The sequence below is a fragment of the Homo sapiens genome, chromosome 18 (assembly GCF_000001405.40).
Source record: "Homo sapiens chromosome 18, GRCh38.p14 Primary Assembly".
NCBI classification, from domain to species: Eukaryota; Metazoa; Chordata; class Mammalia; order Primates; family Hominidae; genus Homo; species Homo sapiens.
Genome location: NC_000018.10, coordinates 31,117,103 through 31,141,484, shown reverse-complemented (window position 1 = coordinate 31,141,484; position 24,382 = coordinate 31,117,103). Strand labels below are relative to the sequence as shown.

At 35.1% G+C, this 24,382-nt stretch overlaps 1 protein-coding gene and 1 long non-coding RNA gene across 3 annotated transcripts in view; one reads left to right on the top strand and one right to left on the bottom strand.

The window, feature by feature from the left end:
* The window catches only part of DSC1 (desmocollin 1), a 33,621-nt gene extending 21,372 nt beyond the window's left edge, over positions 1–12,249 (top strand). Inside the window, exons 10-17 of one of the 2 annotated variants that reach the window (NM_004948.3) lie at positions 1,184–1,443; positions 1,595–1,737; positions 6,701–6,913; positions 7,355–7,594; positions 8,796–8,917; positions 9,643–9,891; positions 10,647–10,692; positions 10,774–12,249. In NM_004948.3, the coding sequence (NP_004939.1) occupies positions 1,184–1,443; positions 1,595–1,737; positions 6,701–6,913; positions 7,355–7,594; positions 8,796–8,917; positions 9,643–9,891; positions 10,647–10,682 (1,263 nt within the window). In that variant the 3' untranslated portion in view covers positions 10,683–10,692; positions 10,774–12,249. The remainder of the gene's footprint in view (positions 1–1,183; positions 1,444–1,594; positions 1,738–6,700; positions 6,914–7,354; positions 7,595–8,795; positions 8,918–9,642; positions 9,892–10,646; positions 10,693–10,773) is intronic. The other variant, NM_024421.2, reaches the window with a different exon arrangement.
* DSCAS (DSC1/DSC2 antisense RNA) overlaps positions 1–24,382 on the bottom strand; it is a 61,202-nt gene that overhangs the window by 21,305 nt on the left and 15,515 nt on the right. The gene's annotated exons all lie outside the window — the stretch shown is intronic.

Below are 24,382 nucleotides of genomic sequence, written 5' to 3'. Positions count from 1 at the left end.
AATTGCAATTACTGGTTTCTAGGATGATTACTTTAACTGGACCTAATTCTTTTTTAGTCCATCTATCCATAGCTCTCATTGACTTCTTGCATAGCTTCATTCATTAATTTCTTAGAGACAGTTTAAGTCCTCAGAAGGTTCAGGCAGACATTGTGTTCTCCTGATAAGATTTTTAGAAAATATTCTTTAATTATTGTACTGTCTACTTTTTCTTTCTTTATTTCTTTTTCTTTTCTTGTTCTTAGGTTTTTTCCCCCTTGATATTTTTTTCACCATTTAAATGTTGTTTTAGGATTCTTTCTAACTATTCATTTTAGGACTGTATTAGTTTGTTTTCACATGGCTGATAAAGACATATCCGAAACTGGGAACAAAAAGAGGTTTAATTGGACTTACAGTTTCACATGGCTAGGGAGGCCTCAGAATCATGGAGGGAGGCAAAAGGCACTTCTCACATGGTGGCAGCAAGAGAAGAATGAGGCAGAAGCAAAAGCAGAAACCCCTGATAAAGCTATCAGCTCCTGCGAGACTTATTCACTATCACGAGAATAGCACAGGAAAGACTGGCCCCCAAGATTCAATTACCTTGCCCTGGGTCCCTCCCACAACAGGTGGGAATTCTGGGAGATACAAATCAAGTTGAGATGTGGGTGGGACATAGCCAACCATATCAAGGACCAAGCGCTTTCATCAGGAACTAAACAGCCTGAAATATAATGTGCTTTGAAAAGGTGCTGTTAAATATCATTCTATCTTTTGAGTCAGGCATAGAGTAACTGCTGTATTATAGCCAAATTTCTATCTAATTATTGTATATACTTAGTTTGGAGGCAATTTAGTTGTCACTGTTATCCCATATAATAAGCAGTAAAGTAATTTGAATTTTTTCATACACTTATCTTGCATTTCTATTAATATTTAAACTTATAATGAAAAAGGCCGAAGGCAAGATCTTCCAAAAGAAAAATGAGAAGAAAAATGGGTTGAATCTGAGAATCAACAATTTTGCATTTGGCAATGTTTGTCACTTTAGGAAGCTAATTGTTGGTCTTTAACTGTATTAGACCTAACTTTAGGTTACATTTTAAATGTAAAAATGATATTCCTTTGTAGGAAAATTTGAAATTAGAAGTCTTATATATAATGTTATATATTGACTTATTAAAGTATGCTTATTTAACAGCCATTGAACTATGAAGTCAATCGCCAAGTTATTTTGCAAGTTGGTGTCATTAACGAGGCACAATTCTCTAAAGCAGCGAGCTCACAAACTCCTACAATGTGCACTACAACTGTCACCGTTAAAATTATAGACAGTGATGAGGGCCCTGAATGCCACCCTCCAGTGAAAGTTATTCAGAGTCAAGATGGCTTCCCAGCTGGCCAAGAACTCCTTGGATACAAAGCACTGGACCCGGAAATATCCAGTGGTGAAGGCTTAAGGTGATGTACTTTTCAAAAAGCTCCTTAATTTTAATTGTGATGTAAATTGTTTTTAAAGTTATGAATGTTTTATGTATTTTTCAAAATGACAGATTTTAAGATCATGTCCCTTCTTTGATTTGACCGTTCATATTTGATTTCTAAAAATTAGGTATCAGAAGTTAGGGGATGAAGATAACTGGTTTGAAATTAATCAACACACTGGCGACTTGAGAACTCTAAAAGTACTAGATAGAGAATCCAAATTTGTAAAAAACAACCAATACAATATTTCAGTTGTTGCAGTGGATGCAGGTGAGTGCCATTTTCTACAGATAAAATATAAATATATGACATGTTTTTAAGGAAACCTTGTGGTGAAATCTGTTTATTTCTAGACAAAACATAATTCAAGCAATGTTTGCATTTTTATTGTTCATGTTATTGGATATCACCCAGTTTAGGCTTCAGTGCATCTATAATGCAAAGCTATGAGGTAGTGAATGGCCAAAGCTTAAGGCTTAATTATATCACAATAAATTTAAATGTAATTACATCACAATTAAAATTAAGGTCTAAGGATTCAAAGATGATCTATATATTATTAATTTCTGCTGAGGAAATGGTGGCATACTCAAGGATCACCGTTTTTTTTCAGAAGTACAGGTTTAGATACATTATGATTTGAGCTTGCTGAAAGGGTTCAACACACCTAAAACAGTTGGGTTCAAAGTAAGTTTGTTCTGAGCTTCTCTTAATGGAGAACAAATCATTTATCCTATTTTATAAAGCAATGGTCAAACAATGACTTAAGTCTTTTATGGTGATTTGCAATCTTTTACCAAGGTCAATTTTAGAATCAATTCTGTAAAGAATGTCCTCCAAATATAGTAAAGTAGTGATCTGGAAATTCTTTTGAACATACAAATTTCTATCAGTAAACCACTTGTTAGTATGTTTAAATATATATTTATAAATATGTTTTTAAATATTTGCTATCATATGTATTTTTATATACATGTACTATTATACTAATGTATACATCATAAAAATATACAAAACATATTAAAAGAGGATGATAAAAATATAAGTAGAAGCTACACTCTTCCATTTTATCATATTGATGACAAATTTACCATAAATTTTGGCAAATTGCCATAAATAATAAAGATAAATGAACTTGGGCTTTTATAACATAGCCTATTCGTTTGACTACCTGCCTAATCCAAGAAGGTTTCCACTCTTTTTACATGCATATGCTGGATGTTCAAAACAAACTAGCTGATACAATGCTATGGGTTTTTTTTTCCTGTGTCTATTGCATTTCTTTAGAAGGAATGGTTGACTGTATTAATAAATACATATGAAATTCCATGGTAATTAATATAAGTTGGTAGTAGTGAAAATGTTCATGCTTATTTATTTGTCCCTTTGTTTTTTTTTTTAATAACAAAATGCAAACAATGTGTTCTCAGATATTATACCCCTACTTTTTTCTATGTTGGCAAAGAAGACTTTATGTTTACTCATTTATTCCCCAACTGGTGGTTTGTCTATTAAGTTCTAAGTATTAGACAAGCTGACATGGAAATTAAGAATGTTAAGATAAGGCCAAATTCTTACACGATATCAACTATAGAATTATTATAGTTTCACAAGAGATTCTATGATGTGAGAACTTTCCTCAAAAAGAATGTATGAATATTATCAGAAGTGGCGATCAGTTAAGACCTGCTCAGATTAAGGATGAAAGAGAAGAGATTACAGAAATGCAGAGGCCTAATTTTTTAAAAATAAAATGCTATCTGGAGAGGAGAAAATTATGGAGAACAAAGTATTTAAAAAGTAACTTTGTTTTTTGGTGCTAAAAGACAAAGTCTGTAAGCACAGTGAATGTAGTGTAGAAAATAAAAAGCAAACTTTAACAAATCTACATTCCAGGGCCGTAGATAACCTGGGTGTGTTTAATAAAAAAGTAAAGATAAGGATGTTACACATTTTAGTGAAAAACCATATAGTGATATGATGGATTTTGTTTCTTTGAACTTTAATCCACACACACACACACACACACACACACACACACACACACACACATTTTGCTCTGATGCTCATGATTATTCCTGGATGATGATCTAGGTATTCTACCTGTCTTAGAATCCAACTTTCTTTCTTGTGTCAATCCTCTGTCAGTCTGGCTGATGTCCCTGCTGTCAGTCGAGAAAGCATTGTTTTACATACCTTCCACCTAGAGTAGCATTGCTCCTCCTGTCTGAAATTCAGGCCCCTTAACTTCTTCAAATAAATGGCAATGACAAGGTTTGTGATTGTTTCCATTAGTCTGGATTCAGTTCTTCTCTAAATACCTTTTGAACTGGGGATAACAATTATCATATATGGTGTGGCTTCTGTAGAAAAGGCTGCTTTCATTGTTTCTCATGTATATTCTGTTCTCCTAACAAGCTTAATTATGAGTTCAATTTTGTATAAAGACCCTTTTTCTTTGTAAATCGTCCCTTTCCAAGTATCTGGCAGAAAATGTGGTATACATATGCACAGTGCAGGTGCTGATATTTGTCATTCCTTTGTTGTTTGAGAGTCCTATGAATCTCCACGTTATACATTTCACTGCAAAAAGCTTTACAATTCTAGGGACATAATTAGCACTTGGGAAAACTGATTTTAATGTAGAAAATTGAGATTAAACATTTATTAAGTGCTTCTTTATTTTTCCCTTCTGTAAGAAGGATTTTCTTAAGAGAACAAATATTTAAGGGTTGTCATGTACAAGTGGCAAACATTTTGCATGTATAGTCCAAAAAGAACATGAACAAATTACAGGAAATCATTAGGAGGCATATTGTAGCTTAATAATTAAAAATTTAAATCTTTTAACAATTAATTTTAAAATTTATAGAGTAGGCTGATTTATAATACAGTGATTCTAGTTACTGAAACATTTGAGTAGCAATAAAAAACGACTGCTTTCCAGAATTGCTGTTGAAGTATTATGAAGATTTTTAGTTAACCCAAGATGTACTTTCTAGCTCTGTGATTGGTGTTTCTTACTCATTTATACTTGATGTTTGCTTATGTGCTTAATTTAAAGTAAATTTTAGAAGTAAATAAACACACCAATGACTTCATCATGCTCAGCTATTATCAGTAATTACTTATTTTTGGCTGTTTACCTCTTCCCAGGGGTAAAATAAAAACTTACCATCAACCTCTTGTAATTTTTGATATCTTCTAAGACAAGCTTGTCCAACCTGTGGCCTGCAGGCAGCATGCAGCCCAGCGTGGCTTTGAATGTGGCCCAACAAAAATTCATAAACTTTCTTGAAACATTATAAGATTTGTTTGCAACATATATTTTTTAGCTCATCAGCTATCATTGGTGTTAGTGTATTTTATGTGTGGCCCAAGACAATTCTTCTGTTTTCAGTGTGGCCCAGGGAAGCCAAAAGATTGGACACCCCTGTTCTAAGACCTTCTCAGCTTTGTCTTTGATTGCCTTCCATTTAAATCATTTCAAGCATCTTTCATCTGTTTTTATCAACATGCTTAAAGCAGAGACTGTAATAGAAAATAGTAAGTTATGGGATAAATGTTGGTTGAATATGTGATTAAATAAATCTTGATTTGCGTTACTATAATTACCACTTTTTTTGGATTTTTAAAGTGTGTTTTCTTACGATTTTTCTATAAAGAGAAAGGCTTTCTGCTTAAATTTTAAAAGGTGAAATTATAGTATATATATCAACTCATGTGTAGTGTATGCAACTAAATTTTTTACTTTATAAGGCCTCTTTTTCATATTATTCATTTCTTAGTTTGCTGATTTTAAAGTTATTACTTATATTCAACTTTATTTGCTATTTTCTGGCAGTCTCAAAGTATTTATATGCTATTGCAAATTTCTTCAACAAATAGCTATATCTCTCTTTTATTTCTGGATATTTTTAAATTTGTTCAGGTAGTTTTAAAATAGGCATAAATAGTAGTTACTTTATACAAACAATTAGTTTAAAAGTCACTGAATAAATTAATTTTGTAGTTATTCAACAGAAAAAATTCTTTTGAAATACACTACATGATATGACTTAGGGTTATTTCAAATTAAAAAGAAAAATAAATTATATTTGCATGGGAGTTATAGTAGTCTTTATGATAAATTCAACATACATGTTTCAAAATGTGGACCAGTATTTAAAGCAAAAACATGAAAAATTACATCAATTACCTTTCTGTTTATTTCAATTTTGATATCTTATCATTTATTGTAGTTTATTATCCTTTTACAAATGGTGGGATTTGACATGTTTCTGAACTTCATTATCTCTTAAACACAAATAATGGGCACTATTTTAACTAAAAATACTATGTGTGAAGTCTTAGGCCAATAATAGTGGCAATCAACAGATGAGTACGAGACAGTTCCTGTTGTCAAGAACATATGAATTGCATTAGGGTAGAGATGAAAACTTATTTTTCTGGCTTATTCAATTAAATGTTTTCAAGTATAAAAATAGGAACTGCATTATGTTCAATGTGTCAGTATTAAGTTATAGTTAGCTGGGAAATACTGGGCAAATCACTAGGCTCTCAAGGTGAATACAACTTACTATGCTACTTTTGCAGTTCAGTGTGTGAGCCAAAGTATTAGCAAAGAGTTCTGAGAAAGCACTGGAATATGGCTACCATTGTCTGTGGAAGTCACGAGTTTCATGAGGACGTGACATTTAAGTAGATTCTTGAAGATAATAGTGTGCTATCTGGCAAAGAAGAGGAGAAAAGTATTCCTAGGAGTGGCAACCGAATGCTACAAAGCAGACAGGAAGGGGAACACTTAGTGCATTTCTAGAGAAGTTTTCAAGGTTTGGGAAAAAAGTATATGATGCAATGGAGAAGCTGAGAAAGTGACTGACAACCAAATGTAAAGTGTTTGTATTCTAAGGATGAATATATGCGCTTCATAAAGAAGGATGTAAGACATCTGTTTTATTTTCAACAGGTCATTCTGTAGTGACCTTCCTCATAATCTCATACCTTTTAGTTTTGAAAAGCATCTGAAGAAATTATCTGATCCAGCCCTAGTCTTCAAAGAAAAGTGACATGTCCCTATTTTGTAGTCTTGGTGTCTGAAATCTGGGAAGCATGTATGCGAACTCAAGCTCAGACAGCTAGTAGAAAGCAGATGTCAACTGTGTATTTTATAAATTGTTGAAAATAAATGCATTTTCATGTGAAGAAATAACCTATTTTTAATTAATCTTAGTTGGCCGATCTTGCACTGGAACATTAGTAGTTCATTTGGATGATTACAACGATCACGCACCTCAAATTGACAAAGAAGTGACCATTTGTCAGAATAATGAGGATTTTGCTGTTCTGAAACCTGTAGATCCAGATGGACCTGAAAATGGACCACCTTTTCAATTCTTTCTGGATAATTCTGCCAGTAAAAACTGGAACATAGAAGAAAAGGATGGTATGTAATCATGCTAAATTTTATAGTCAATACGGACTTCAGATTGGTGATGGTTCTTTCACCTTAGTTTATCATAATAAATACACATTTATTTTAGGAAATTATTTTATTAACCCTAAAAACAACAATACCTAATCTTTAAAAAAAATTAGTGCCATTGTGATGAGCTTAGACTCTTGTTCTGAATATCTTTTAAGAAAACATATAAGTCCCTTTTTAATTAACATTTGAGCAACATGTTAAGTACAGATTAGTTTAATATCAGCATAAAGCAACATCAATTACTTTTCTGGCTCTTCTGGGAAATCACAAATTCAAAAAAAAAAAGAAAAATTCGAGTTTTTATTCTAAATTGATTCCCTTCCACTGAGAATATTGAGTAGGAATAATACTGCCATCTAAACAGCCAATCCATATATATTCTGTCTTTTTTTTCCCTAGGTAAAACTGCCATTCTTCGTCAACGGCAAAATCTTGATTATAACTATTATTCTGTGCCTATTCAAATAAAAGACAGGCATGGTTTAGTTGCAACACATATGTTAACAGTGAGAGTATGTGACTGTTCAACTCCATCTGAGTGTAGAATGAAGGATAAAAGTACAAGAGACGTTAGACCAAATGTAATACTTGGAAGATGGGCTATTCTTGCTATGGTGTTGGGTTCTGTATTGTTATTATGTAAGTATATTAAGTATCATTATCTAGAATGTGTTAGCTAAAATTTTATCTAGTATTTTTAAAACATGGAAGTTTTTTATATTAATAGCCTTTGGGAAGTGTGTTCTTTTAAAAATATTGTATCTATTTTATGTCTTGGGGCTCTGAGTGATAAATGTATCAGTAACAGCAGATTAAATTTAAAGTCAGTTTCAGAGGTGGTAGCCTTAGTTCTTCAATAATTATCTGTGAGACATTGGGTAAATTATTTCCTCCTTTTTGAACTCATTTTTCCATGTGTAAAATGAAGAGGCTGGGTAAAACTATTAAGATTCCCTCCATGTAAAATAATATAGTCTTTCAACCAGCCATGTTTATGTAGGGAATACATACATACAAAAAGAATTTGTGAAAACAGAGCTATTCCAAAATTTACTCAGATATTTCTGTTCCATATTATTAATGAAGTGATTTAGCATCATCGTAAGACTTCCGTGAGTGAAAAATGGTCATATGAGCCACTGAGGAAAAGCAATACAGGCAAAGGATGCTAAGATTTTGCATTGTGCAAACTGTTATTTGGAGGTACAAAAGTAATAGAAATATTGCCCACGCTTAATTAAGACTGCCTTTTTCTCTTTCTTTCTTTCTGTTTCTCTCTTCTTTTCCTTTTCTTTTTCTTTCTCTCTCCCTCTGACCCCAAAGAACCCATTTGCATTTACAAACTTTTCCTATAATCTTTACTGTATCCTAATTCATTGATTTGAGTTTCAGATTAAATTGGATATTCCTCTTAGCACTTTATTAGTTGATGTACATTTTTGAAACCAGACACCAATTTTATGTAATTGCCTTTCTTGTTTGTATTTATGCCTAATGTTCTTAGTCTTGTTATTTTAAGCCCTTTAAGTGTGTTCTGTATGATTTTAACTACTAATGATGCTATCTTAAATATCAGTTAGATGAAGTTACCATTTCAATGTAGAAGAAATAAAAGACACATATAAGTTAATTCTGGACCTGGGAAGAGAGCTATTATTAATCTCTCTAAGCTACAAATAGTATAAATACATTTTTAAAATATTCTGTTTTTAAATCTTGTGACCTGAAGAGCTCAATTTGTGGAATGAATTTTTTGAGACATATGCAAGAAGACTTTAAAAAATCATGTAATCAAATGATTTAATGTCTGTGTTTTACTTTGATCTTTTTTGCTTTTTAGGTATTCTGTTTACATGTTTCTGTGTCACTGCTAAGAGAACAGTCAAGAAATGTTTTCCAGAAGACATAGCCCAGCAAAATTTAATTGTATCAAATACTGAAGGACCTGGAGAAGAAGTAACGGTAAATCAGATTTCACATCCCTTTGAATTGTACGGTGAACAAATGATGACAGATTATTACTCAACAATGTCAATGATAATATCACTAATGTTTATTGAGCACTTACTATGCTAAGCAGAGTTTCAAGTGCCCTCAGTGTTTTAAATCATTTAAACCTCCCAATTCTACAGGGCTAGGGCTGTCACAACAAACTGAGTGACTTAAACAACAGACAAGTATTGTTTCACAGATCTGGAGACTAGAAATCAGAGATCAAGGTGTTGGCAGGTCCGTGCTCCCTCTGAAGGAACTGGGGAGGGATCTGTTCCAGGACTCTCTCCTAGCTTCTGCCAATTCCCTGGCTTATGGCAGTGGAAATCAAATCTTCATATGGCGATTCTCCATGTGTGCATGTCTGTGTCCAAATTTCCCCTTTTTATAAGGATACTGATTATATTCGCTTAGGGACCCACTCTAATCCCATATAACCTCATCTTAGCTAATTACATCTACAATGACCCTATTTCCAAATAAGTTCACATTCTGAGTTACTGAGGGTTAGGGCATATGAATTTTTAGGGGACTCAATTCAACCCATCACACCTATGATACTATTATTCTGATTTTATGTATGAGGAACAGAGAGGCACAGCAGGCAAGTGATTTGCCTATGGTGAAAAAAAATGAAAATGAATTGTTAGTTTCCATTTTTCAAATTCACTTTATCACTCTCACTTTACTTTTAGGAAGCAAATATTAGACTCCCCATGCAGACATCCAACATTTGTGACACAAGCATGTCTGTTGGTACTGTTGGTGGCCAGGGAATCAAAACACAGCAAAGTTTTGAGATGGTCAAAGGAGGCTACACTTTGGATTCCAACAAAGGAGGTGGACATCAGACCTTGGAGTCCGTCAAGGGAGTGGGGCAGGGAGATACTGGCAGATATGCGTACACGGACTGGCAGAGTTTCACCCAACCTCGGCTTGGCGAAGTAAGTTCCACTGTCTTTGAGGTCATATTACATGGAAGTTAAATGCTAGTTATAAATCAGAATTTCCCAAAAGTTTTACTCCTCATATACCTGGAATTCAACATCTTTTACCTGTTGGATTATCATAGATGTGGATGTCTGGTTTAAACCCAAAGATAAAAATGATCTTTGAAAATTCACCTTTGAAAATACAGTTTACAAAACTTTATCTAGGAGTGCCATATGTAGATGTGTTTACAAAGGATAAAAGGTTCATAGCCTCTTCCCTAGAAATTAACAGGAAAACCAGCTGGAGTGAAATATTTATTATACAGGAATGAATGGATCATAAATTATAAACATTTCTCAGTGTGCTTGAGTTCTTTGTGTGGTTATGAAGTCCTGGCTATCAAAATCAACCAGATAAATTGTTGAGCTTTTATTTTGAGTTTTAGTTCCTTGTTTTGTTTTATGTTCAGATTAATCAGTATAGGTTTGATATTAGCCAGTTTAATATATTACACTATCACAGTTATATAGTAGTGTATAAACATAGGAATCATAGCCTATATTGGTTTTCCTCAAATACGTGAAGAAGCTACAAAGGTAAATTTCAAATATACATGTTTTGTGTTCAAATGGGAAATTATAAATGTGTTGCGTGATATATGCGTAGTCTTAATTTTTTAAATGTGCTCACTAGAAGCATTTATTTATTTGCTATATTTTAAGAGTGACTATAATACAGACCAATCCTGTGCATTTTTTATATATAGGAATCCATTAGAGGACACACTCTGATTAAAAATTAAACAGTAAAAGGTAAATCAAAGACATCATTTTTCTGCTAATATGTTTAGGTGTTTTTTAAAAAATAATAAAATGTGCTCTTTTTTGATACAGAAGGTGTATTTGTGTGGACAAGATGAGGAGCATAAACATTGTGAAGACTACGTTTGTTCGTATAACTATGAAGGCAAAGGTTCTCTGGCCGGCTCAGTAGGTTGCTGCAGCGATCGGCAGGAAGAAGAGGGACTGGAGTTTCTAGATCACCTGGAACCCAAATTTAGGACATTAGCAAAGACATGCATCAAGAAATAAATGTGCCTTTTAATAGTGTAATATCCACAGATGCATAAGTAGGAATTTATTACTTGCAGAATGTTAGCAGCATCTGCTAATGTTTTTGTTTATGGAGGTAAACTTTGTCATGTATAGGTAAGGGTACTATAAATATGAGATTCCCCTACATTCTCCTTGTCTGGTATAACTTCCATGTTCTCTAGAAATCAAGGTTTTGTTTGTTAATTCTCTTTTATATGCATGTATATATTGCCCTTTTCACGACTGTACTGTACACCTTCTTGCACCTTTTATTTGCAAACTGATGTTACTTTTTGTGCTGTGGAAGAGCATTTGGGAAAGCTGGGTATTATAGAGGCCAATGAAAGATGAATTTGCATTGTAGATGTACGAATTAAATATGTTCTTCAAAATCTTGGGGAGAATTATGTTCTTAGAACATAGTTGGTGCCAGATAATTGCATTCTCTCCACCTGAGTGGTTTAAAAAGGACTTTTAAGTATTCTTCAGTGCAATCTTCAGTTTTGTGATTAAGTTCATTTCTCTTTTACACTTTTGTACTCCTCAGAGCAGTGCTCCCAGCATTGTTTTCTTTCAGGATCCTTCAGAGCTCAGTCCCTGGACCTCTGCCCATGTGGATTTGTTGTTAGGTCACTCCAACTTCTAGGGTTCTTGGAAAGATAAGGACCAGAACAAGCTCATAGCAAATTGAGGGGCAGAGATTTTATGAAGATTACATGAGAAGATTTCCATGAAAGAATTGCAGCCCTGAGGTCCATGGGTTGACTTATGCTCACAAATATGTTTCGTTTGCTCAACATGGTTTACTACTAACATTTTAAAAATATAAATACTTTAGCAAAAACATTCACTCTTGAGTTTGACATAGGCCTGCCTTATCTGTGGTTGCCACCTGCCATCTCCAAGCATTTGGACAACTAGCCCTGATGCATTAGGCTGCAACTCTGATATACAGAGACTAGCACCTTGAATATGCCAGAAATTGAATTACCATCTGTATTAGAACTTAAGACTCAGCCTAAATTTACAGTTACTTTAAGAAAATGGGCAGTCAGAATTAGGGACTAGAATGTATATGAGAAACCCCCACTCTACTAAAAATATAAGAAATTAGCCGGACATGGTGGCGAATGACTGTAATCCCAGCTACTCAGGAGGCTGAGGCAGGAGAATCGCTTGAATCCAGGAGGCGGAGGTTGCAGTGAGCCGAGATTGCCACTGCACTCCAGCCTGGGCAACAAGAGCGAAACTCCGTCTCAAAAAAAAAAAAAAAAATTGAAATCAATTACAGCAACACTTACCAAACATTTGTAGAATGATGAATAAATGAACGCACACATTCAGAAATAATTTTGAATGTATAACATTTTAATAGGATAGTATATTTTATTAATCTAAAAAGAAACTATATATTTAAATAGCATTTTCGTAGTCATTTGTGGCAAACTCTATAAGTCTATAAACAATAACAGTATGGAAATTTCTCATCCAGAAAAAACAAAGACTTAAAAAAATCTATTAACTAGATATTTTCTAACTAGTTAACTATTTTTAAAAATGAGTGGCTTTTTAAAAAAATTTTGTGACTAGTCTTCTAATTCTCAGTTCCAAATTAAAGGCGCTTCTTGATATGAAATTGGATATTGGATCAGAAGAAAAAAGTGATTTTAATAAATCAGATTTTATAAGGTATCCATAACATATAATTTTTATAACCATTATAAAATATTTTTGTGGTCATGCAATTTTTGTTCTCTGATGTACAGGTTGCTCTGATAATATCAGTTCTAAAATTTTAAAATATAATATAAATTTGGACATTTATCATAAAAAGTTACATTCTTGAATGTAGGTACAAAATGTTCTTGGAGTAATTAAAAATCATTAACTGAACCTTAACTTTAATTGTACTTTTATGTTCAGATATACATTTTCTTTCCCATAATTAAGCAAGTGAAAAGAAATATGAAGACAAACGAACATATGTAAGTTAAATTTCAGCTAATGATTTTTAGTTACTCCAAGAACAATTTCTACCTACATTCAAAATGTAATAATTAATATCCAGAGGTAGATAGCTCAGTCAGCAAGAGAAGATACTCCAAAAGCATTTGAAAAATTATTAGAAAGTGTGAGAAATAAATTTGTATTAAACAGTTTTGGCCATTTAAAATATTTTCAAAATATCATTAGAGTTTATCTCAGAGAAACTTTGACTGTCTTTTGGTTTACTTAGGCAATTCAAAATCATTCTCTGTTTACTCCCAAAATTAAATGTTAATTGTATGTTTGATAAAATATGTGACACTCTATCAGATTGCTTACAAATTTCATTTGTTAATAAAAGATTGCATTTCATGGATTTATTTCATAAAACTTAATTGTCAGTTAATAAGTTAATAGTTATGACTGGTTTTTCTAGAATTAAATCAGTATTGAGGAAGATATACAGTTAAATTTTCTTATCTTATTTCAGATCTCAAATATTTCATGTGAAAAAATTTCATGAGAACACCAGGGTAGATGAAAATCAATGTAATTTTATAAGTGAGCTTCATTAGACATGTCCTAATTTTACTGAACTTCTGCTTACTCCTGTGTTTATTAAAAGTATTTCATACAACTTGACATCTATGCATATATTTACTTTCAGAAAAGTCATATGCTGTGTTATTTAGAAAATGCTCAAAATAGATGTTTTAGAGTCAAAGATTTTTATTATCACAGAAAAGCCCTCTTTTTATTGCATGGTAGTTATGAAAGTTCTGTACTAGTTGAAAAACCTAAATGAAATTAGGGTAATGAAACAAACAATGTATATTGCTGCATTTTTCTACTCTCTTTTATCTGCTTTTCTAATAAATCTGAAGGAGTGTTGCATTTGACTAGACACTGCATTTGTCTTTCTGCTTTTGTAGAAAAGAAGAAAATAAAGAAGTATAGCAGAAGAAAACGTTACTAAGAATGGATAGATTCTTGCATATTTTATAGGGCCCAATAAAATTAAGTTAGCGTAATTTTTCAAAACTCTTCAAAAAAATGTTTACATAAAAAATAAAAATCACATTATATTACCTCAAATCCTTACTACCAAAACCAAAATAACTTTTTAAAAATAGTTATTTTAAATAGACTAATTTAAGTGTATTAGAAGGATTATAAAAACAAATGTGTGAAGTGCATTTATAATATATATCTTATGAAGTTAAGTCTTTTATTATTTTAAGATATTCACTTCTTAAAGTAAGTTTTTTGATTGACCGAAATAAAATATCCTTTCATAAATCAATCTACAGAGTTAGCAGTTGTTTATTCCCTAACTTTAGAGAAAAAAAAAACAATGAAAGACAAATGTGGTTTTCCTGTGGTCTGCATTTGCCTGAGAATATGTAGGATTTCAACATTTTAAAAATTTGGTTGTCAGTGTGCAACAATTTGATACCTGTAACTGTGGAATTCTATTTGTCTATGTTTAGAGACTTCTAAATGATATACTGTGGAATTATTAACACTAAAAAAACTCAAGGCTTCATTTGAGATATCTGAAGTTTTAATTTGCCTAAAATTAATGTTATTTTCTACCAGGTAGAGTTCAAGAAAAACTAAAAGAAACCCTCTAATCAAAAGTGGAAATGAAAGGATTTCCTTACTTGGCTTTGCCTCCCCTAAAAGATATAGAATATTTGGTACTGAGTGGTGGATGACATTTACATAGTTCAAAATCTCTCTTAAAATCCAAGTTTCTAAAGATCTTCCATCCATAGTAGGTATCCTGCAAGAGGGATGTGCTACTGTCCTACACTCACCGTATTTCCCACCTCTTTGAGATCCATACTAAAATTCAAGGTCACTGGTTCTTGAAGTGTAATTCCTGGATTAGCAGGCTCAGCATCATCTGGAAACTTATTAGAAATGCAAATACTTTGGTCCTTAGCCCAGATCTACTGAATAGGAGACATTGAGAATGGGACCCAGCTATAGAGTAGGTTAACAGACTCCCCAGGCCTTTCTGATGTACTGTCAAGGTTGAGAATGTCTGTCGTTCTATTCCTCACCTCAGCGCTACCTCTCTGATACTCAGCGTGGTCTGTGGACCAGCAGCATTGGCATCTCCTGAGAGCTTCTTAGACAAATAGATACTTAGCCCCCACCTCAGACCTATTGAATCAGAGTCTGCATTTTGATGAGCTCTCTAGGAGATCTGTAAGCACATAAAACTTGGAAAAGCACTACATAAGTGATTAGGTGAGGGGAAAGACAGCAAAAACGAATAGGTGAAAAACATGATTAGTTTCATGGAGTAAGCAATACAGGTAGCCTCAGGCAGCAGGTCCATGATATTAGTTAATGTCTAGATAATTAGATATTATTTAGATAACATCTAGAACATGGATGTGATGCCTGGTGCTCAGGCAGCCATTTTGTGAGCTTCAGAATAGTGGAGCAAAAAGATTAACAGAGGCTGAATCCCTGACAAATTGTAGAGCCTCCAATCTGCCTTAGACTTCCTACCTCTAAACTTGGTCATGTGTGTGAATAAACCTTTTTGTGTTTAAGCCATACAACTTTAGGTTTTCTGTTATATGTAGCTGAATGTAATCTGATATGGGGAAAGAAAAAAGATTGGATGTAAATAATTGTTTTACCCAAGTCATGAATCAGTGAAGGTAGCAGGTTAACTTCTGTACTTTGAAAACTCACTTTCTTTTGGTTAAGAGTTCAAATATGGGCCAGGAGTAGGGGTTCACACTTGTAATCCCAGCACTTTGGGAGGCTGAGGCAGGGAGTCCATGAGGTCAAGAGATCGAGACCATCCTGGCCAACATGGTGAAACCCTGTCTCTACTAAAAATACAAAAATTAGCTGGGCATGGTGACGTGCACCTGTAGTCCCAGCTACTTGGGAGGCTGAGGCAAGAGAATCGTTTGAACTCCGGAGGCGGAGGTTGCAGTGAGCCAAGATCGCACCACTGCACTCTAGCAGCCTGGCAACAGAGCGAGACTCCGTCTCAAAATAAATAAATAAATAAATAAATAAATAAATAAATAAATAAATAAAGAGTTCAAATATGTTGAGACTTGAAGATACTCCAGTGTTCTCTGAAAAGCCTCAGAAGAAAAGGGAGCATTACTTCATGGAAATAAAAAAAAGGTACAATACGTCTCAAAAAAAAAGTACAATAATGTGTCATTTGAAGATACTATCTTCCATCCTCTCTAAAGTCAAAAGCCTTCAGTGGCTCACATTTGTAGTCCCAGCACTTTGGGAGGCCAAAGTGGGAAGATTGCTTGTGGCCAGGAGTTTGAGACCAGCCTGGGCAATATAGTGAAACCCCATCTTTACAAAAAATCTTTAAAAATGTTAGCTGCACCGTGCCTGTAGTCTTTGCTATTCAGGGGACTGAACAGGGACAATCCCTTGAGGAATTTAAGGTTACAGTGAGCTATGATTGTACTACTGCACTCCAGCCTGGGTGACAGAGTGAGACCCTATCTCAACTAAAAATTTAAAAAATTAAAGTCAGAGGTCTGACTTTGTAGAAAGCCATTGATTTAGGAGTGAGGAGACTGGGATTCTTCTATTAACCTGCTGTATAATCTGTATTAAATCATTGAACCTCATTTACCTCAATTTTTCAACTCTAAAAATAATTTTGTTTATTGATTTTATAAACCAAACTATGATGTTCTTTAAGGTAGAGATGATATTGTATTCATCATTGTATTCTCCCTTCTAACTGTGCTTGACAGGTGTTTTGTTTGTTATGGGATTTAATATTTAATTGCTGCACTAATTAAAATTTTAAATAAAAATACCTTCCCTAAATATGCACATTTTTAAATTAAGCACACCATTTTTATCACTTCTGTTTTGTATTCCTACACAAAAATGATCTAGTAGACGTGATTCCTTAAGTCTGAGAGAGTTAATATTTTGTTGCATTCTAGTATCCTGAGGTATGTTCTCATTTTTCAGCTAATGAAAATAAAGGCAAATAAAAATAAATAAAACTTTTTTCCCATGAATTAATTCAATGAATGTTCATCACAATTCACAACTGTCTTAATGCCTGCTTGAATAGACTTCAGAATGAGTAAAGATGAGTTTAAACAGAAAATCATGGAGCGTTCAGCATGAACAAAGATAATTTTATGGTTTTGCTGTATATGACAAATGGTGATTCCATATTTGAATTGACTGAGGTGAAATTCTGCTGTTCCACCTTGTAGGCTATATAAAAAGTTGGTTTTTTGTTTATTTTTTCTTAATGATCTCAGTGAATCAGCCAGGACTTGCATTAGTCTGCTGATAATAGAAATAAGAGTGGTTTAAACAAGGTAAAGTTCATTTTTAAATTTTATTATTATTATTATTATTATTATTATTATTATTATTATTATTATTTGAGACACAGTCTCGCTCTGTCACCCAGGCTGGAGTACAGTGGTGCGATCTCAGCTCACTGCAACCTCCGTCTCCTGGGTTCAAGTGATTCTCCTGCCTCAGTCTCCCGAGCAGTTGGAACTACAAGCACGTGCCACCATGCCCAGCTAATTTTTGTGTTTTTTTTTTTTTTGTAGAGTAGGGTTTCACCATGTTGGCCAGGATGGTCTCCATCTCTTGATCTCATGATCCGCCTGCCTCCGCCTCCCAAAGTGCTGGGATTACAGGCATGAGCCACCATGCCCGGCCAAAAGTTCATTTTTATTTAATGTTAAACAAGTTCGGAGTCTTCGATTTGTATTAGGGATTACTCACGGCAACAATGTCTCAGGAGGCTTCTCTTTTTCTGCCCAACTATCTTTTGTACAAATTGTTTCATAGCCACAAGATGGCTAATGCAACTCCAGCCATCATATCTGTATCTAAAACAGAAAGAAGCTGGGTGTGGTGGCTCACACCTGTAATGTCAGCAATTTGGGAGGCCGAGGTGGGTGGATCACTTGAGGTCAGGAGTTCTAGACCAGCATGGCCAACATGGTGAAACCCCATCTCTAATAAAAATACAAAAAATTAGCTGGGCATGGTGGTGGGCACCTGTAATCCCAGCTACCCAGGAGGCTAAGGCAGGAGAATTGCTTGAACCCAGGAGGCAGAGGTTGCAGTGAGCCAAGATCCTGCCATTGCACTCCAGTCAGGGCAACAAGAGCGAAACTCCATCTCAAATAAATAAATAAATAAATAAATAAATAAATAAATAAATAAAAATAATCAGAAAGAGAGAGAAAGGGGGAACCCTTGTTTTTAGAGCACTCTTCCAGAAACTCCCAGCAACAACTTCTGCCTACTATATACCTTTGGGAGAGCTGAGTAACACGTCTGTCCCTATCTGCAAGGGAGAGTGAGGAATGCAGTTTTACAGCTGAGTACACCTGCTGAACAAAATCAAGGTGTAATGATGGAAGATATGTAATAATGATGTCAGGTAATCTAGGGGAAATTCTGTAAATATTCTTAACCAGTGTAACCCTGCCCCAGGTCAATGTTATTTGTAGCCAAATATTTATTCCTTATATAATAGTTAAGGACTGTATGCTTAGAGTGGAGAAACACATTTTTCAACTGTCAAATTTTATTAAATATAGTAGAACAAAATCTTATTTAAAAAGTCACATAGGTCAAGTGAGGTGACTCATGCCTGTAATCCCAGCACTCTGGGAGGCCGAGGCAGGTGAATCACTTGAGGTCAGGAGTTCGAGACCAGCCTAACCAATAAGTTGAAATCCCAACTCTACTAAAAATATAAAAATTAGCTGGGTGTTGTGGCAGGTGCTTGTAATCCCAGCTACTTAGGAGGCTGAGGCAGGAGAATCACTTGAACCCAGGAGGCGGAGGTTGCAGTGAGCCAAGATTGCACCACTGCACTCAAGCCTGGGTTATAGAGCAAGCCTCTGTCTAAAAAAAAAGAAGAAGAAGAAAAAGAAAGTCACATATATTAAACCTCAGTTTTTTTCAGAGATTAAAACCTGATTACCAGGCCAGATATATTCCAAATTTGTGGTGGTGAGGAGTAGGAATGATATGGGGAAGGTGACGGCTTTTACAATTGAAAGAATTTATGAATACATTGCTACATTAAAAATCAGGACATTTCATCCCAAATGCAAATTTGTGACTCCTCTTGAAAAATTGGAAAGTCTGGTGACACAGAATCCATATTCCTGAAGGTCACCAGTTGGCTAGAGGTAACACAAGGCTTTCCCTTAGACAGTGCCCTCTGCAGCTTGCCATTCATTCACAGACAGAAATGCTGTCAATTGTCATTTTATCATGACATTGTAGGTTGGTTTTCTGAAGGTAGATTTAAGAAGGGAAAAAGACATATTTTCAGTACTATTATCTTTTCTCAAAAGTAGCATAATAAAAAAGGGGTGCTCTTTTCGATCAACCTGACATATATTTGGATTACTTTTCTGGCCCCTGAAGTCATTGAAGTTTGTGGCTACTTGAACTATGTGAATTTTCAATGTAAAATGAATTATGCTATCATTTGGGATATAATTTGCTTCTTTCATGTTAATTTTTTATGGCTTTCACCCCCCTCCCTGCATCAGAGTATTAGCTCCATATGAGTAGGGATCTTTGTGCCTAGAACTGTACCTGCCACATGGAGGGAACTCAATAAATGCTTGTTAATAAAATTTATTGAGCATCTACTATGTGCAAGAAGTGTGAATGCTTTCACAAATGTTATCCCTTTTAAAATACTAATAACAGGCCAGGTGCAGTGGCTCGTACCTGTAATCCCAGCACTTTGGGAGGCCGAAGCGGGTGGATCACTTGAGATAAAGTGTTTGAGACCAGCTTGGCCAACATTGTGAAACCTCGTCTCTATCAAAAATACAAAAAAAAAAAAAAAAATTTAGCAGAGCCTGGTGGCAGTTGCCTGTAATCTCAGCTACTTGGGAGGCTGTGGCAGGAGAATCGCTTAAACCCAGGAGGTAGAAGTTGCAGTGAGCCGAGATCGCGCCATTGCACTCCAGCCTGGGTGACAGAGTGAGACTCCGTCTCAAAAAAAAAAAAAAAATTTAATAACATACTTCCAAGGTTTGCTATTATTATTCCTATTTAACAATAAGAAAACTAAGGCCAAGACACACTTAAACAAGATCAGACTTTCTCATTTCCACACACAATAAAAGAAGATGTTTATAGCTACTTAATCATTAAAAAATGCTTCCTATAAATTTGTGCTAAATATTTCACATATTCACATTCTTCTAAAATATGCATTTTGATCATCAGCTGTTAAAATTTCTGTGAAAGGAAAACACAGCAGTCTTCCACCCAATCTCAAAACTCTCTCTAAGAATGTAAATTGGTACAGCTATTGTAGAATACAGTGTGATGTTTCTCCAAAAATTATAAATAGAACTACCATGCAACTCAGCAATTCCTATGCTAGATATATACACAAAAGAAATTAAATCAGCACCTTGTAGAGCTATCTGCACTCCCATGTTCATTGAAGCATGATTCACAATAGCCAAGATATGAAAACAAACTTAGTGCCTATTGATGGATGAATGGATAAACCAATCATTGTGTATATATACACTCAGAGTGGAATAGCACTCAGCCTTTAAAAAGAAGGAAATACTGACGTTAGCCACAACATGAATGAACCTGGAGTACATTATGCTAAGTGAAATAAGCCAGACACAGACAGCAAAATAGTGTATAAGCTCACTTACATATGGAATCTAAAACAAAAGTGAAACACATAGAAACAGAGAGTAGAACAGTGGTTTCAGGGTTGGGGAGGAGGAGGAAATGGGAAGAAGTAGACTAAACGGTACAGATTTGCAGCTAGGTGGGATTTAAAAGTCTAGAGATCTGGTGTGCAGCAAAAGGATTTTAGTTAATACTATAGTATTGTACACTAAAAATTTGCAAAGAGAGTAGGTTTTAGGTTCTCCTACCACACACACACTCATACACACACACACACACACACACACACACGGCAACTATGGAAAGTGATGAATAAGTTAATTTACTTGACTGTAGTAATAATTTCTCTATGCATATCAAAGCATCATGTTGTATACCTTAATTACATACAATAAACCAAAAAAGGAATCAAAATAATTAATAGATTAACACAACAAATAAATTATAAGTATCTGAGATGATGGATGTGTTAGTCTGGTTTGATCACTCCACAATGCATACATGTATCATAGCATCACATTGCACCTCATAAATATATACAGTCATTATTGTCAATTAAAAATAAAATAAAAGTTTTTTAAAAGTATCAATGGGTTAAACAGATGGATTGCTTTCATTTGGGGTTGCTCTGACTATCCACATACTAATTATAACCGAGTTTGTTTGTGCAGACCAATGCCTCTTTCGAATTCCATGCCCATGTTACTAATTATTTCCAGTTGGATTGCCCACAGAAATCTCAAACTCAGTATTTTAAAAATCAATTTATTTAACTCCCTCACAAACTGGCACTTTCCTGTTATCCCTATCTTTGCTACTAACAATATCATCCATGAAATCTCCAACCATGTATCCATTCCAGAATTCTGCAATTATCTGCACATATGAAGAATAAGAAATTAATGCACTCTAGAAGAGACAGCTTTATCAACTAAATAATGACAACACTTTGGTCAGTTTCCATAACAGAGGCACATATCAAAGACTGTGTGCACATGGAAGATTCAAGTGCTTTTTCCCACATGGGAAAGTCGGGGACAGCTCCCTGAGCAAGGTGGGAGGGGGCATTGAGTTGAAGTAGAGGAAAGGACTCTCGAACCAAACAAAAACAAAAAATAACCAAAAGCAAAACAAACGAGCCAACATACAAGAACCATGAGAGTCCAAAAACTACAGGTGGAAAATCAGTATTTTGGAAGTTGCCTTGGAGGAGTTGTAGAGCAGGGAGATCAATTAAGATGGTCCAGATGAGAGATGAGGGATTGCAGAAAGCAGTAACCTGGAGACTGACGGTTGTGAGGTGGAGGCAGAGAGAGTGTCTATGATGACTCCCTAGTTCCCTTCCTGAATAAATGGGAGAATCATGAAACCATTAACTACAAGGCAGTTTTTATTACAGAAAAAGAATGGCTCCAGTTTGGGATATTTTGACCTTGAAGTATTTGTGAGAGTTTCAGGCAGGTACTTCCTGTCTCTAAGTTGAAAATAAGGGACATATCAAATGCAGCCCACCTTGTAATTACCTAACATCCATGTAATCCATCCACAAATGCTAAAAGCTCCTTTAGGGCAGGGACTGCTTCTTATTTACCTTTTTATCTAAGTGACCAGGGCTGTGAATCCTTCCTTTTCTATAAATATTTCAAGTATCCTTCCTTTCTTCTGCTCAATAAGGGTGTACTAAGCATCCCCCCTCCTACCCCTTCCTTCCCTCATGCCCACCTCACTGCCCCCCTCCTCATGAGGACTTTCGGCTCTAGGGTTTTGTTATGAAAATCAAGCTAACCAGTAATATGCTAGTGAGGATGACCTTTGAGTGAAATAAAACGAATATAAGAAAAAGGCATATGAATTGTATCTCCATAAAGTTGGTCTTAAAAAAAAAAAAAAAAGAAGTGAGGAAAAAAAGCAAAGAGCCTTGAGAATGAAGGGGTAGTTTATTTTATTTAATGTCGTGGTAGTGGTGGCCATTGAGGAGTAGAGAGTGAGAAGTCAGAAAGAGGTACATTTAAATTTTCAGGAAGCAGCAAAACACTGTGTAAAGGATGTTGAGGAGGTTAGCCACTGAAGAAAGGCTTTCAAAGACGGTTGCGTTAAGGCATAAGGATGACACAATAGGCCAGGAGTGGTGGCTCAACGCACGTAACCCCAGCACTTTGGGAGGCTGAGGTGGGAGGATCACCTGAGGTCGGGACTTGGAGACCATCCTGGCCAACATGGCGAAACTCTGTCTCTACTAAAAATACAAAAATTAGCTGGGCGTGGTGGCAGGTGCCTGTAATCCCAGCTACTCGGGAGGTTGAGGCACAAGAATTGCTTGAACCTGGGAGGCAGAGGTTGCATTGAACCAAGATCGTGCCATGGCACTCCAGCCTGAGTGACAGAGTGAGACTCCGTCTCAAAAAAAAAAAAAAAAAAAAAAAAGAATGATTCAGTGAACTTTGGGGACTTGGGGGGAAGAGTGGGAGGAGGGTAAGGAATAAAAGGATAAAAGACTACAAATATGGTACAATGTATACTGCTCGGGTGATGGGTGCACCAAACTCTCACAAATCACCACTAAAGAACTTACTCATGTAACCAAATACCACCTGTACCCCAATAACTTGTGGAAAAATAAAATAAAATAATAAAAATTGTTTAAAAAAGATTATTGTGTTGCTGTGTATTAAGAATGCCCCTGAAGGGGCTACAAAAGACTTGATGTACTTGAACAGGTTTTGTTTAACTGACTTTGTTTTGGAGAAAGCACATCTGCTGATACTGGGCTCGGGGTAGGGGGAGGCTAGCAATACAAACAAGTATGTGGCTCAGTAAATGTTTCAGAAGTGATTGGATCTGATGAATCTCCAGGCCCTATTGATTTTGTTCATTAAATACCACTGACTCCATTTCTTGCACCTAAACCTACTCACAGGCTTGTTCTAGGCCCCAGGATTCTTGGCTAAACATCTGCTGTTGTTTCCTAACTGATGTCCTGTCCTCCAGCACCTCTCCAGTTGGAAGAAGTGTTCCAAGTTTGACCCCCATCATGCCAATGTTTAAAATCTTTCAGTGGTTCTTCATGTATACATATGGCCGTGGTTAAAACTGATAATCTTTTGGTTAATCCAACCTACAGGCAGTTTTTATGTGTTTACAATTTTCTTTCTAATGTGATTACTCTTAGGTGGTGCATGTGTCCCTGCTAAACTTTATTATATGTAATCAGCTCAGTCACATGGACAGTGAGGTGACTGGCTCCTAAAGGCATATGAACTTGTGATTTTCTGGCACATAGGAAGGAAGAAAGAAAGGAAGGAAGGAAAGGAGGGAGGGAGGGAAGAAGGAGGGAAGGAAGGAAGGAAAAGAGAACAAAGAGAGGAAGGGAGGAAAAAGGTAAGAAAATAGGAAAGGAAGAAAAGAAAAAGAAACAAAAATGGAAAGAAATAAAGAGAAAGAAAGCAAGAGAAAACGTAAAGAAAAGGAAAAAAATGAAAGGAGGGGAAAAAGTAAGAGTTCAAGTCTATTTAATTTGGACAGAGCCAATCTTTATCTCAGAAGTTTCGGTATTAAAGGAGATACACTTCCTATAGGTGGGCAAAAGTGAATCTGTGTAACATCACTCATATTTAAGCCACTACAAATTAATAAAAATGATGTAAAACATCATCTGTGCCCTCAACACTTCTTAGCAATCTGTTCAAGGACTTTTGGCTAGGTCTGTAACTGATTCAAAGCTATTTTAATTTTT